Below are 16253 nucleotides of genomic sequence, written 5' to 3' on the forward strand. Positions count from 1 at the left end.
ATTTATTGTAGGGTATAGTTTAAGTCCATTGTTTCTTTGCTGACTTTCTGTGGTGATGACCTGGCTAGTGCTCTGAGTGGAGTTTTGAAGTCCCTCACTATTACTGCATTGCTGCCCATCTTGTTTCTTAGGTTTAGTGTTCATTGTTTTATAAATTTTGGAGCTCCAGTGTTAGGTGCATATATATTTCCAATTGTGATATTTTCCTGTTGGTTTAATCCTTTTATCATTATATAATGTCCCTCTTTGTCTTTTTTAATTGTTGTTTTATGTCTTTTTTTTCGGATATAAGAATAGCTACTCCTGCTTACTTTCGGTTTCCATTTGCATGGAATGTTTGTTTTCCATGCTTTTACCTTAAGATTATTTGAGTCCTCATGTGTTAGGTCAGTCTCTCAAGGAAAACAAATACTTGGTTGATGAATTCTTATCCATTCTGCTGTTCTGTATCTATTGAGTGGAGCATTTAGGCCACTTAAATTCAGTGTCAGTATTGAGATGTGATAGAATACTATTCTATTCATTGTGCTAGGTTTTTTTTTCATTGTGCTATTGTTTTATAGGTTCTGTAAGATTTATGCTCTAAGAAGGTTCTATTTTGGTGTACTTTGAGGTTTTGTTTCAAGATTAGAGCTCCTTTTAACAGCTCTTGTAATACTGGCTTGATAGTGGTGAATTCTCTCAGTATTTATTTGTCTGAAAAAGACTGTACCTTTCCTTCATTTATAAAGCTTAGTTTTGCTGGATATAAAATTATTGCCTGACAACTGCTTTGTTTAAAGAGGCTAAAAATAGGACCCCAATCACTTACAGGCTTTAGGGTTTCTGCTGAGAAATCTGTTGTTAATCTAAAAGGTGTTTTTAAATAGGTTACCTGATGCTTTTGCCTCACAGCTCTTAAGAACTTTTCTTCATCTTCTCTTTAGATAACCTGAGAACTATGTGCCTAGGCAATGATCTTTTTGAGATGAATTTCCCAGGTGTTCTTTGAGCTTCTTGTATTTGGATGTCTGGATCTCTAGCAAGGCCAGGGAAGTTTCCTTCAATTATTCCCTCCAATATGCTTTCCAAACGTTTAGCTTTCTCTTCCTCCTCAAGAACACCAATTATTCCTAAGTTTGTTCATTTAACACAATCCCAAACTTCTTGGAGGGTTTGTTTATATTTTAAAATTATTTTTTCTTTATCTCTGTTTGATTGGGTTAATTCAAAAGCCTTGTCTTCAAGTTCTGAAGTTCTTTCTACTTGTTCCATTTTATTGTTGAGTTTTTCCCGTGTATTTTGCATTTCTCTAAATGTGTCTTTCATTTCCAGAAGTTGTGATTGTTTTAAATTTATGCCATCTATTCTTCTGGAGATTTTTTCATTCATACACTGTATCATTTAAAACATTTCTTTAGGCCAAACGTGGTGGCTCATGCCTGTAATCCCAGCACTTTGGGAGGTCGAGGCCAGTGGATCACGAGGTCAGGGGATAGAGACCATCCTGGCTAACAGGGTGAAACCCTGTCTCTACTAAAAAATACAAAAAATTAGCCAGGTGTGGTGGTGGGCACCTGTAGTCCCAGCTACTCGGGAGGCTGAGGCAAGAGAATGGCATGAACCTAGGAGGCCGAGCTTGCAGTGAGCCCAGATCGCGCCACTGCACTCCAGCCTGGGCAATAGAGCGAGACTCCATCTCAAAAAAACAAAAAACAAAACATTTCTTTAAGTTGATATTTACCTTTCTCTGGTGCCTTCTTGAGTAGCTTAATAATTGACTTTCTTAATTCTTTTTCTGGCAATTCAGAGATGTATTCTTTGTTTGGATCCATTGCTGGTGAGCTAGTGTGATCTTTTCTGCGTGTTAAAGAAGCTTGTTTTCTTATATTACCAGAATTGTTTTTCCGGTTCCTTCTCATTTAGATATACTATTTCAGAGGAAAGATCTGGGGCTCCCAGGTAGCTCTTCAGATTCTCTTGTCCCATAGGGTGATCCCTTGATGTGGTGCCCTTCCGCTTCCCTTAGGGATGGGGCTTCCTAAGAACCAGACTGCAATGATTGTTATTTCTTTTCTGGGTTTAGTCACTCAGCATAGCTACTGTGCTCTGGGCTGGTACAGGGGAGTATTTGCAAAAAGTCCTGTGATGTGATCTGTCTTCAGTTCTCTCAGCCATGGATACCTGCACCTGCTCCAGTGGAGGTATCAGGGCAGTGAAGCGCACTCTGTGTGGGACCTTGGTTGTAGTTTTATTTACTGTGCTGGTTTTCTCAAGTGCTGGTTGTGCTGGCAGTAAAATTGTCATGTCGATAGACTCAGGACCTCTGGTTAGTCAGGATGTTACAGGCAGTGGAGTTAGCTGTTGATTTCTTTTCTCGGGATAAAATTTTTCTGTCATGAATTGCTGTAAGGGTTCAATTTGCCTGGCCTCCAGCCAGGAGGTGGTGCTTTCAAGAGAGCATCAGCTGCTGTAGTATAGGGAGAATACAAGCTTGCCCTAGGGTTGCCTGGATAAATATTCAGGTTTCTCAGATAGTGGGAAAGGCCATAGAGCTCCCAGGAGATTATGTCTTTTGTCTTTTGCTATGGTGGGGGTTGGGGAGGCTTGTAGAGAAAGACCATCAGGTCGGGTCAGGTTTAGGCATGTCTGAGCTCAGACTCTCCTTGGGTGAGGCTTCCTGCAGCTGCTGTGGGGAGTGGAGTTGTATTTCAGTGGAGTTGTATTTCTCAGGCTGATGGAGTTACATTCCTGGGGTATTATGGCTGCCTCTGCTGCATCATACAGGTTTCCTGGGAAGTGTGAAAAAAACTGGCAGTGACAAGTCTCACCCAGCTTCCACATAGCCAGAACAACAAGTCTCACTCCTGCTATGCTTCCCCAACAGAATTGAGTTTATATCCAGGCAGCCAGTGAGCAGGGCTGGGAACTTGCTCTAGGCTACAAGCCTCCCCAGTGAGAAAGCAAGCAGGGCTTCACTCCTTTCCACCTTCTGTGGCTTCCATGCTCATGACTGCACTTCCTGTTCAACTCCCCCTGTCCCCCAATTCTCTCCAGGTAAATTCACATTTGGTAGAAATATTACAAAGTTCAGCTGAAAGTTTCCTTCTCCCTGTGTTCTTTCTCCAATTTACTGGCAGCTCTCCCCAAGGGCTTCTATGTGATAAAGTCAGAAATGGCTTCTTTAGGCTTTTTTGGGTGCCAAGAGTGCCTACAGTTCTGTTCCCATTGCTTCTTTTACTTTTATATTTCCTTCTGCTCTCTAAATTCATTTCATCTCTAAGTAAGGTTAAATTCTTCTTTTGTGACCAGGATTTTCAGGTTTCCTGGTGAGGATGTGTGTTTGGAGGTGTACTTTCTTTGTCTCACGCTTTGGGCACTCAAAGTTTTTTGGCTGTCTCACGGAGTTGCAGTGACAAGCCTCTTTCAAATGGCCTGTTAATTCTTTTGTTTTTTTCTCATGTGTTCCTGTGGTAGTTCCTGGAGCAAAAGTTCAAGATGTGAGTCTCCACATGCTGTTCTGTATGTCTGAGCAGGAGCTGCAAGTTAGTACTGCCTCCTATCCACCATCTTCCTCCTGAATTACATTTATTGATTTGCATATGTTGAACCTATCTTGCATCCTGGGGATGAAGCCTACCTCATCATGGTGAATATGCTTTTCAATGTGCTGTTGGATTTGGTTTGCCAGTAGTTTTTTGAGGATTTTTTCATCAATATTAATCAGAGATATTGGCCTGAAGTTTTATTTTTTTGTTGTGTCTCTGATGGGTTTTGGTATCAGGATGATGCTGGCCATATAGAATGAATTAGAGAGGAGTCTCTCCTTTTCATTTTTCTGGGATAGTTTTAGTAAGAAAGATACCAGCTCTTCTGTGTACCACAGGTAAAATTCAGCTGTGAATCCATCTGGTCTTGGGCTTTTTTTGGTTGGTAGACTATTTATTACTGCCTCAATTTCAAAACTCGTTATTGGTTTTTTTCAGAAATTTAATTTCTTCCTGGTTCAATCTTGGGAGGGTGTATGTGTCCAGGAATTCATCAATTTCTTCTAGATTTTTTAGTTTATGTGCATAGAGATGTTTATAATATTCTCTGATGGTTTTTTTTTAATTTCTGTGGAGTCAGTGGTGATATTCCCCTTATCATTTCTGATTGTGTTTATTTGAATTTTCTGTCTTTAGTCTATCTTACTATTTTTTTCAAAAAGCCAACTCCTAGATTCGTTGATTTTTTTTGAAGGTTTCTTTGTGTCTAGCTCCTTCAGTTCTGCTCTGATGTTCGTTATTTCTGGTCTTCTGCTAGCTTTGGGATTTGTTTGCTCTTGGTTATCTAGTTCTTTTGGCTGTGATGTTACGTTGTTAACTTGAGATCTTTCTAGCTTTTTGGTGTGGATATTTATTGCTATACATTTCCCTCATCACTGCTTAGCTGCATCCCAGACATTCTGGTACGTTGTCTCTTTGTTCTCATTAGTTTCAAAGAACTTCTTGATTTCTGCCTTAATTTTTTATTTACCTAGGAGTTATTCAGTAGTATGTTGTTCAATTTCCATGTAGTTGTGTGATTTTGAATGAATTTCTTAATTTTAAGTTCTTATTTGAAGATGCTGTGGTCTGAGAGACTGTTATGATCTCAGCTATTTTGCATTTGCTGGGGAGTGTTTTACTTCTAATTATGTAATTAATTTTAGACTAAGTACCACTTGGAAATGAGAAGAATGTATATTCTTTTGTTTTGGGGTGGAGAGTCCTGTAAATATTTATCAAGTCCACTTGATCCAGAACTAACTTCAGGTCCTGAATGTCTTTGTTAATTTTCTGTCTCGATCTGTCTGATATTGTCACCGGGGTGTTAAAGTCTCCCATTATTATTGTATGGGAGTCTAAGTCTCTTTGAATTTCTCTAAGAACTTGCTTAAAGAATGTAGGTGCTCCTGTATTGGGAGCATATGTACTTAGAATAGTTAGCTCTTCTTGTTGAATGGAATCCTTTACCATTATGTAATACCTTTCTTTGTCTTTTTTGATCTTTGTTGGTTTAAACTCTGTTTTGTCAGAAACTAGGATTGAAACTTCTGCTTTTTTTCTGTTTTGCATTTGCTTGGTAAATTTTCCTTTATTCCTTTATTTTGAGCCTGTGTGTGTCTTTGCATGTAAGATGGGTTCCTTGAAGACAGTGTACTGATGGGTTTTGGTTCTTTATCCAGCTTGCCATTCTGCGTCTTCTAATTGGAGCATTTACCCCATTGCCATTTAAAGTTAGTATTGTTATGTGTAGATTTGATCCTGTCATCTTGAGGCTAGCTTGTTATTTTGCAGACTTGTTTTTGTGGTTGCTTCATAGTGCCACTTGTCTGTGTACTTCAGTGTGTTTTTGTAATAGCTGCTAATGGTTTTTCTTTTTCACATTTTGCACTTCCTTCGGGAGCTCTTACAAGGCAGGTCTTGTGATGAATTCCCTCAGCATTTGCTTCTCTGAAAAGGATCTTATTTCTCCTTTGTTTATGAAGCTTATTTTGGCCAGGTATGATACTCTGGATTGAAAATTTTTATGTATTTATTATTTTACTTTATTTTATTTGTTTAGAATGTTGAATATTGACCCTCAATCTCTTCTGGCTTGTAGGGTTTCCACTGACAGGTCTGCTTTTAGTCAGGCTTCCCTTTGAGGGTGATCTGGCCTTTCTCTCTGGCTGCCCTTAACATTTTTTTCCTTTCATTTCCTCCTTGAAAATCTGATAACTATGTGTCTTGAGAATGATCTTCTCTTGGGAACATGTTACTGAGGCTCTGCACATTTTCTGAATTTGAATTGTTGGCCTGTCTTGCTAGGTTGGATACTTCCTTTTGGATGATATTCTCAAATATGTTTTCCAGATTGGTTCCATTATCACTGTCTTTTCCAGGTACCCCAATCAGTCATAAATTTTGTCTCTTTACATAATCCCATATTTCTCAGAGGTTTTGTTCATTCTTTCTAATTATTTTCTCTATTCTTGTCTGTCTGTGTTATTTCAGAAAGACAGCCTTCAAACTGATATATTTTCCTCCACTTGGTCTATTCTGCTATTAATACATGTGATTGCATTGTGAAGTTCTCCTAGTGTGTTTTTTAGCTCTGTCAGGTTGGTTATGTTTCTCTCTATACTGGCTATTTTGGTTGTCAGCTTCTGCATTCTTTTATTTTGCTTCTTACTTTCTTTGTGTTGAATTACAACATGCTTTTTTTTTTTTTTTTTTTTTAGCTCAGCAAAGTTCATTTTTATCCACATTCTGAATCCTACTTCTGTTATTTCAGCCATTTCATCCTCAGCCCAGTTCTGAACCCTTGCTGGAGAGGTGTTGTAGTCATTGGGACGAAAGGGGATACTCTAGAGTTTTGAGTTTTCAGCATTTTTGCACTGATTCCTTTTCATCTTTGTGAGATTATCTACCTTTGATCTATGAGGTTGCTGTCTTTTGGATGGGGTTTTTTTGGGGGATTTTGTTTTTGTTGTTTGTTTGTTTTTGGCAGCCTGGCTACTCTTCCATAGGGCTGTTCTGGTTCATTGGGGGCCCACTCCCGACCCCTAGTCCTCAGTTTTTCCCATACCTGGAGGTATCACAAGTGAAGTCTACAAAGCAACAGAGATGGAAGCGTGCCCCTTTCTCTGAAATCTCCATCCTAGTGGGGCACTGACATGTTGGCTGCCCAAATGTGCCTGTAGGAAGTGGCTAGAGATCCCCGTTGGGAGGTCTCATCCAGTCAGGAGGAAAGGATAAGGGACCCACTTAAGAAAGCAATCTGGCTGATTTTTGGTAGAGCAGCTGTGGTGTGTTGGGGATCCCTTCAGCCCCTGAGCAATTTGGGCTCCCCAAGGCCCACAGGCTTGACTGGCTTAGATATCCAAACAGCCAATGTGGAGGTCTGCCCTGCCCCCTGGGCACTCCATCCCAGGGAGATATCAGAACTCTGTTCTTAGAATATGGAAGAGGATAGATGGAGGCCCCAGCTGGGAGGATATGCCCTATAAGGGGAAGTGGATCAGGTTTCCATTTAAAAAAGAAGTCTGACCATGCCTTGACAAAACTGCCTTGTCATGCTGCAGAACCGCCTCTGCCCCTATTGACTTGGACTCTCCAAAACCCTCTGGCTGGAATGGCTGTCATCAAGTCTTCCAAACAACCAACGTGGTGGCCTGCCCTGCCCTCAGGCACTCCACCCTAGGGAGAGATCAGAGCTCTGTTCATAGAATATGAGTAAGTGGGGGTGACTGGAGGCACCAGCTGGGAAGTCTCACCCATTGAGGAGGAATGAATCGGAGTCCCTGTTAAAGAAGCAGTCTGACCACACCTTGGGAAAACAGTGATGCCATGCTGGGGCACTGCCTCTGATCTTGTCAGCTTGGGCCCTTCAAAGCCTGCAGACTGGGATGGCTGAGTTGTCCAAACCACCAAGGTGGTGGTTCACCCCTCCCTCTGGGCACTTCATTCCAGGGTGAGATCAGAGTTCTTTCCATAGAATATAGATGGGTAGGGGTAGCTGGAGGCCCCATCTGGGAAGTACCACCCAGTGAAGAGAAATGAACCAGGATCTTGCTTAAAGAAGCAGTCTGGCCACATTCTATCAAAGCAGCTGTGCTGTGCTGGGGGAACCCTTCCTCATTCGAACTCTTTGGGCACTTCAAAGCCTGCAGGCTAGAATGGCTGAGTTGACAAAACAGCAGAGATGGTGGCCCACTTTTCCCTAGGGGCTGTATCCTGTCTCAGGCAGTCTCCATCCTATTGCTATTATCTGGCTAAGCCAGTGGTCTTATCTTGTGAGGTCCTGTGGAAGTGGGCCCGCAGACTGATACTGCGTGGCTCCCTGGATTCAGCCCCCTTCCTAAGGGTATGTACCAATCTCCCACCTTGCTTGAGTTGCACTCACCTTTGTTGAGGATTCCAGGGCCGGAGTATGTAAAGCTCCTGGTGATATAACTCAGATGAGTGGAGGAACACCAGGGTTCTTCGTCTCGAATTGAATTGGATAAAATGACATGAACACACGTGAAGTGGTTTTAAGGAATGGAGAGTTTAATAGGCAAGAAAGAAGGAAGAAGCTCCCCCATACAGAGACCAAGGGAGTGGGGCTCCAAAGATGGGAGAGGAAACATTGAGTGCAATGGAAATCAGCTAGTTATATGAGGAGGCTGGAGGAGGCAGTGTCTGGTTTGCATAAGGCTCAGGGGATTGGTTTGACCAGGCATGTCATCATGTAGCCCATAAAAAACTGGCCCTCCCACCCTAGCTTTTAAATATGCAAATGCAGGGCACCATGATGTTCTACACACGTGGGGATATGTGGGGGCAGCCATGTTGCCAGGCACATGTCGGGGCAAGGGCAAGAGGACAACTGTGGGAATCGCCATGTTTGGGTGGACCCAGTTTCTAGTGGCTTGCATTTGCATATCAAAGGTTTCCTGCCCAGCTCTAAGAGTCGGAGCTTTCCTTCTAGACAGGAAGCATTTCTGCTTTCTATATTTAAGCAGGAGCTGCTTAAAAAGAAACAAAAACTTCCCAAGGACCCCTTTTCCTCTCTATCTGCCTAAAATAATTTCTTAATAACTCCTATAACACTGGGTTTCTGTGTGTGGCTGAGAAGCTGCTCTGCTGAGACTCCACACAGTTCTGTGTGTTAGGCACAAGGCTCATGAGGGGATCTTCTAATTTGAGGGTAGCAAAGATCTGTAGGAGAAGTGTGGTTTCCTGGGGTTGCATATTCACTCACCACTTCCCTTGGCTAGGGGTGGGGGTTCCCTTGGCTCCATGTCACTGCAGGGTGGGCTGTTGCCCTGCCCTGCTTTTGTTCTCTGTGGGTCAAGTTGTTTCCCTGATTAGTTCCAATGAGAGTACCTGGATACTTCAGTTGAAAGTGTGTATTTACTCACCCCTTTCATTCCTCTCCTTGAGTGCCATGGACCACAGTTGCTTCTAATCTACCATCTTGGTCTGGGACCCTGGGTTTTTTTAAGACAGGGTCTGGCTCTGTCATCCAGGCTGTAGTGCTGCAACATTCCCTTGTGGATTTTCAATTAATGCCCTTCATTATATTGAAGAATTTACCTTTTATTCCTAGTTTATTGAATGCATTCTTTAAGTTACCAAATGGTTTGGATTTGTCAAGTGCTTTTTTTTTTTACATTGATTGAGATGATTATGTTTTTTTAAAATCATTCAAATAATGTGGCATTTTACTGTTATAAATAAAGTTTCAGTGCCACAAAATAAATAGCACTTGAATATAAAATTTTCTTTTTAATTCTCAGCAAGGCAATGTACTTCTATAGAAGGGTGCAGCCTTACAGATGGAGCAATGGTGAGCACACATCTGGACAAGGGAGGGGAAGGGGTTCTTATTCCAGACACACTTGTCCCCTGCTGCTGTGTCATTCCCCTATTGGCTAGGGTTAGAATGCACAGGCTAAACTAATTCCGATTGGTTAATTTAAAGAGAGTAACAGGGTGAGTGGTTTGGCGGGAAAAATGGTTATGGCAGAGCAGGAAATTGGAATGAGTCAGGGTGGAGAATGAGTCAGGGTGGAGCAGGTAATTGGAATGAGTCAGGGTGGAGCAGGTACTCGAAAAAGGTTGCTTTAAGAAGAAGTTAAGTTTAAAAGTAGAAGGCAAATAATTGAACATACTGACATCTTGATTCTTTGAAGAGAAATTTAGAACTCATATCTAACAACCCCTCCTCTTGCATTTCCTTACAGCTCTTTCTCTTCAAACTTCTTTAACATGTCTTGGCTTAGTTGTTCTGCTTGATTTTCCAAAAGAAGCTTCTCTGGATAAGGTGGAGGATAGTTAAGGGAGGTATCAGTAAGTGTCATTTTTTGAGCCTTTGCACCAACCCATGGATGCATGGTGTGACACGGCACCTGACAAGAATAAGTACACCCATTACGGCTGCAAGGGAAGTAAGAATTGAGGCTACTATTCTTTTCCATTTACTGAACCACTTTTCTAGTCATCTTGTAAAGGGGCCATTTACCCCTGAGTTGTTGGCTAACTCATTGGACAGAGCAGTCAGACCTTGCAATGCCTTTGTTATACTTCCCTCAGGGGCGGAGTTGTTTGGGATGAAGGTACAACATTGAGTTTTAATTATGATGCAAACTCCTCCCTTTTCTGCTAATATCATGTCTAAGGTTATCCTATTTTTCCGAAGCCATCTGGCTAGTAGCCCCTAATTGCTCAGCTATTCCTTTAACAGCATCTCTAGTGTAGTTAATAGATCACTGTTGGTTGTAATAGATGTAGTTTATCCAATTTACATTTTATTAATTGTCACCCACCAAAATATTGACTCAAATCCTGCAGCTATTTGATTTTGGGCTTTAAATTGATCTGGTATTCCCTGTGGGACTCTAATTGTGTCTAAATAGATATGAGAGTCAAAAGACCCATAAGGGGCTTCTTTTGCTTTATGATGTCTTATTTTTTTTTCTTTCTCTGGTTGATGAAATGCCAGGGCGAAAGGGTTAGCCAACTGGACTAAAGCATAAGTACCACTTCAGTTACTTGGCAGAGTGTCCAGTAAAGGTCCACCATAATACCACTACACATCTCCTCAGGGATGAATAAGGGCTGACTAATTGGTAAGCTTTTGAAAATTTTAAGCTCACTGCCTCCCTTCAGGTCTCCAAGGAATGTTAAGCTTCCTCCCTGTCGTGAGAGACACGAAGTGAACTTAGTTCTGAGAGATCAAAGCTGGATGGCCCCCAGGGGCTGAGCCACAGGGTGTCAAACTTCGGGATATAGCAGAGAGAGAGCTTGGCATGACATGTTACCCCACGCTGTAGAATCCTGGAAAAGAGCTACCATACAGCCCAAGCCCAGTCAATTGGAGGACCACCCTAGTGGAAAAGGGACAATCTGGGCCTCTGGCCTGCCGTGCACACAAGCATAACAATTGTCTTAGTTTAACTTGTGGGTGGAATATTGAATCCATTTTGACCAGGCATTTACATCTTTATACTCTGTTTCAATGGCTATGGTTTGCCTTAGTCCTCCTATTTCTACTACTGAGAACTTGCTTGTTTCATTTGGCATGAGGCAAGTCATAGTTTGATTTCACAGGTTTGGGAAAGGGGCAGCCATAGGAGGTGGAGTAGGGAGAACAAAGCACACCTTAAAGAAGCCTGTAGGATCCTTTCCAGTGACCTCTGCTCCAAAACCATAGAAGTGCTTTAAAGTGGGGTTAGAGTTGCTAGTGGTAGGAATAGTAATGGATATAAGCACTGGGTAAGGAAAGGAAAGGAAAAGATAGACTAAGCTTTCCTTAGGTTTAATTTGGTAGGGCTTGATCCAGGAACAATGGTCCATGATTCTGAGGATAATGACATTGCTTGACTTGGGTGTGTTGTACCCATCCCTTTCCACTGTACGAGCAGCAGTCTCATGGTTAGCAGCACAAGGTAGGGTCCTCCCCAGGCTGGCTTGACTTTCCCTTCTTTCCACCCTTTGATGAGAACACGATCCCCAGGCTGATGCTGATGTACTGGAAACCCCAAAGGTGGTGCCTGTGCTAAAAGATCTCTTGTTTTAAGGGAAGAGAAGGTGGAGGATAAACCAAGTATATAATTTCTAAGAAACTAATCTTTTGTTTTAAATGTGGGGACATCAACAGTGGACTTTATAGTCCTTGGTGCCTTCTTGTTGATAAATTTTGTTTAGCACCTATTTTTATTAGTTTTTAGACCAAAGAAAGCCAAACACCATTTTATATTTAACAATGCTTCCTGTATTATTTTTATACCAGATAAGCTAAATTTCACCTTCATATTAGTGTGTTATTAATGTTAAGCTTAATTTTAATAAAACCTTGTAGACATATTTATTCAATTTTTAATGTCTGACCATAAGGTAAGATTTTTATAGACTCTTTTTAGTCTTTTATAATTTTTGTTAAAGAGCAAGTTAGTGCTTTAAGAAAAACCTGTTGTGCTTTTATTTTAATGTCCAGTTCACAGAGAAACCAGATGATACACCTTTAACTTTAGCCAATATGTTTACACACACAATTTCCTTTACAATTAACTTTTCAAAACTTGCTTAAACCTTTAAAACAAAATATTTTTTAACCTTTTAATGTAGGTAAAAATACACATTCTTATGCCTCCTTATAATCCTTTTACCAAAAGTATATTTTACTTTCCTTACACACATTGCACACTCTTTCTTCAATAGTTTACATTCAGGAGGCCTAATTACTTTTAAATTATACAACATTTCTTGCATAAATTCCCTTTTATAACTTTTTTTCACGACTTTCAAAGACAATTCTTTGACATGCCTCAACTTTCTGACTTGTTGCAAACATCCCTTTCTTTAAACAACCATTTAATTTATTTTAGGACAAGAATTTACCATATAACATTCTTTTTTACATAAATTCTCCCCCCCGCCTTTTTTTCCTCAAGGATGATAGCCATTCTTTTCCAAAGTGGACCTCCTTCATGTCTGTGGACTAGACTGTGCAAGGCCACAAGATTACAAGTTAGGATAATACATGTTACACTGTTAACTTCTAGCAAACTTTACTTTTGTTGAAAACCTTGTAAGTTTGGGATTTCAATTATTCTTTGCTATTAATAAGACCTTGTTCAGTTCAAATTAACTTAGAATTGGTATAGATGGCTCCTTCCTGATTCTGTAAGTACGTTAAGGTTCAGCTTATTGCAAACAACTTGCAAGTTTGAGCAGACCAATTATTGGGCCGTTTTCCTAACTCTGCTTCTACAAGAGTTTCCTTATCACTTACTGAATACCCATTGTGTCTTTTTCCCTCAGTCACCCAGGAGGAACCATCTATCGCCTGTTCTGAAGGGAGTACCTCCTAGGTCTGGTCGAACCTTTGGATGGTAATTAAGATTTAGATCCTCTGTTAGGAAACATGCTGGGTTAAGGGAATTTTCAGTGTTTAATGTTAAATCATCTTTTTCTAACAGAGTAGCCTCATACTTTAAAATTATTGAGTCAGTAAGCTACCTTTTTATTTTTCCGACTTAGGATAGTTCTGACTTGATGAGGTGTGCTCACAATGAAGTTTCCTCTAAAAGTTATTTTTCTACTTTCTTCTGTTAGCAAAGCAGTTGCCACTACAGATTGAATGCATTTGGGCCATCCGCGGGTTACTGGGTTAAAGATTTTTTATTAGAAAGGCTACGGGTTGTCACTGGCCTCAGTGTTTTCAGGCTATGCCCTTGTTTACACTGATGACAAGATGGTATTGGAGTGTTATAGGATCACGGAGAAGACCTTCAATTATTAATTATAGGTTTTAAATTTACCCTGGCTTTTAAAGGAATAGGGTACACTGCTTCCTCTTTACTACTTCTATCTCTCTTTCTCTCTCTCTCTTTCTCTCTGTTTCTCTCTCTCTCTCTTTCTCTGTCTCTCTTTGACTCCCTCTTTGTCTTTCTCTCTCTCTCTCTTTTTCTCTGCCTCTGCTGGCCACTTATGCTACTGTTCTCCACTCTCCTTCCCCTTCCCCTAGGGGAGGGATAGGCGGGAGTGGAGCTACTCTTTCTTCCCCTGAGAAGAAAGGAAAGGGGAGTTCTGAATATTTTTCTTACTACTGGAGTTTTGTGTGAGGTTCAGCCCCCTGAAATTTGCAGAAGTCTCAACCCCTCAATCCAGGGGTGTCTTGTCTTGCCTGTCCTGGAAGCCTCAATCCCTCAAACCAGGGATGTCTCACCTTGTCTGCCCTGAAAGCCTCAACCCCTCAAACCAGGGATGTCTTGCCTTGCCTGTTCCGGAAGGCCTAACCCCTCAAACCAGGAGGTATCTTGCCTTGCTGCTCTGGAAAGTTGACCTCTTTCCTCCTTTTCCCCCTCTGAATGTCCCTTGCCCACTTCCCACTCATGTTGTCCTCTCTGGCTGCTCCCTCGGGGCCCCTCTTAGTGTTGGCATGCTGGTATAAATCCCATGGCAGGATCCACCTTAAGCCATATGAGGTAGCTATAGAACTGTGGAGAGGACCCACTCATTCCATCCAGCAGTAGGACTTGTCACCATCTACATGAACAACACCACAAGCAGGGTTGTTTGTGATCATTCATGTACACACACATTTAGCCCTCCAGAGTCTGACCACCAAGGAAGTACTTTACTGGCTCACATGGCTTCTCCTTCCTTGGTCTGTGCACAGAGTTGTTGCCACAGTAGGTGAGGACCCTTTAAGCTAGGTTGCTGGCCAGTTTCTTTCTGCGTTGCTGAGATCTCAGGTTATTCCTCGCACTGAGTGGGTGCTGATTCCTAAGCCCTGAGGTCGCCACAAGGGGGCGGGGCACGCCTCCTCACGAGGGAGAACCAGAGACTGTCCCTGGAGGGGAATGTAATCATGGGCGAGCCCCTAAGTTGTTACAAATAAAATTTTGGTGCTGCAAAAGAAATAGCATTCAAATATAATTTTTTTTTTTTAATTCTCAGCAAGGCAATGTACTTCTATAAAAGGGCCCACCCTTACAGATGGAGCAATGGTGAGTGCACACCTGGACAAGGGAGGGGGAGGGGTTCTTATTCCTGACACATGTGGTCCCTGCTGCTGTTGTTCCCCTATTGGCTAGGGTTAGACTGAACAGGCTAAACTAATTCTGATTGGCTAATTTAAAGAGAGTGACAAGGTGAGTGGTTTGGCGGGAAAAAATGGTTATGGCAGATCAGGAAATCAGAATGAGTCAGGGTGGAGAATGAGTCAGGGCAGAGCAGGTAATTGGAATGAGTCCGGGTGGAGCAAACAATCAGAATGAGTCAGGGCAGAGCAGGTAATTGGAATGAGTCAGGGTGGAGCAGGTAATGAGTATGAGTCAGAGTGGAGAAGGTAATGGGAATGAGTCAGGATGGAGCAGGTAATTGAAAAAGGTTGCTTTACGAGGAAGTTAAGTTTAAAAGTAGAAGGCAAAGAATTGAACATACTGACATATTGATCCTTTCAAGAGAAATTTAGAACTCACATCTAACATTACATTGATTGGTATTTTTATACAGTCATGTATCACTTTATGATTGAGACATATTCTAAACAATGCACTGTTAAGTGATTTTCTTTTTGTGAGAGCAATATAGAATGTATTTTCATGAACCTAGATGGCATAGCCTATTACATACCTAGTTTCTGTAGTGTAGCCTATTGCTCCTAGGCTACAAACCTGTAAAGTATGTGACTGTACTGAATAATGTAGGCAATTGTAGGACAATAATATGTATTTGTGTATCTAAATATAGAAAAGGTACAGTAAAATTCAACATAAAAAATAAAAACAGTACACCTGTATATAATACTTGCCATGAATGAAGCTTGCGGAACCGGAAGTTGCTCTGGATGAGTCAGTGAGTGAATGGTTAGTAAATGTGAAGGCCTAGGACATTACTGAACCCTACTATAAATTTTATAAACACTGTACACTCAGGCTGCATGAAATTTACAAAAAAAGTTTTTTTCTTCATTAATAAATTAATCTCAGCTTATTGTAACTTTTTCACTTAAAAAGCTTTTTAATTTTTTAATATTTTTGATTCTTTTGTAATAATACTTGCTTTAAAACACATACACATTGTACAGCTGTACAAAAATATTTTTTCTTCATATCCTTATTCTATAAGCTTTTTCTACTTTTAAATTTTTAATATTTTAAATACTTTTAAAACTTTTTTTCTTAAAAACTAAGACATGAAAACACACATTAGCCTAGGCCTGTCCAGATTCAGGGTGATCAATATCACTGTCTTTCACCTCCATGTCTTCTTTTACTGGAAGATCCTTGGGAGCAGCAACACACAAAGCTTTAATCTTCTATGGAAATAATGCCTTCTTTTGGAATAGCTCCTGAAGAACCTGCTTAAGGTTGTTTTAGAGTGAACTTTTCATAAATAGAAGGAGTACATTCTAAAATAAAGATGAAAATATAGTATGATATCTACATAAGCCAGTAACAGAGTTGTTTATTATTAATACTAGGTTTGTATACACCATAATCACCACAAATATGTGAGTAGTGTATTGTGCTACAATGCTATGACAACTAAGTCACTAGGCAATAAACATTTTTCAGCTTCATTATACTCTTATGAGACCACTGTCATTTATGTGGTCCATCATTGATAAAAAAATTTATGAGGCCCATTACTGTATTGCATTTCTGGAATAAATCATTTAGTCAAGATATTTAATTCTTTTCTTTATTTTATTATTATTATACTTTAAGTTTTAGGGTACATGTGCACAGTGTGCAGGTAAGTTACATATGT

General features: G+C 40.7%; 2 annotated features.

The window, feature by feature from the left end:
• Positions 8428-8627: an enhancer, noted in NCBI's record as "active region_29718". NCBI's record gives its function as "activates an Ori minimal core promoter by ATAC-STARR-seq in GM12878 lymphoblastoid cells {active_cell/tissue: GM12878}" and the evidence as "EXISTENCE:reporter gene assay evidence [ECO:0000049][PMID:35858748]".
• Positions 14036-15235: an enhancer, noted in NCBI's record as "P300/CBP strongly-dependent group 1 enhancer chrX:65151966-65153165 (GRCh37/hg19 assembly coordinates)". NCBI's record gives its function as "activates an origin of replication core promoter dependent on BRD2, BRD4, P300/CBP, MED14 and CDK7 cofactors, with strong dependence on P300/CBP, by STARR-seq in HCT116 cells {active_cell/tissue: HCT116}" and the evidence as "EXISTENCE:reporter gene assay evidence [ECO:0000049][PMID:35650434]".

Source organism: Homo sapiens, chromosome X (assembly GCF_000001405.40).
Source record: "Homo sapiens chromosome X, GRCh38.p14 Primary Assembly".
Taxonomy (NCBI): domain Eukaryota; kingdom Metazoa; phylum Chordata; class Mammalia; order Primates; family Hominidae; genus Homo; species Homo sapiens.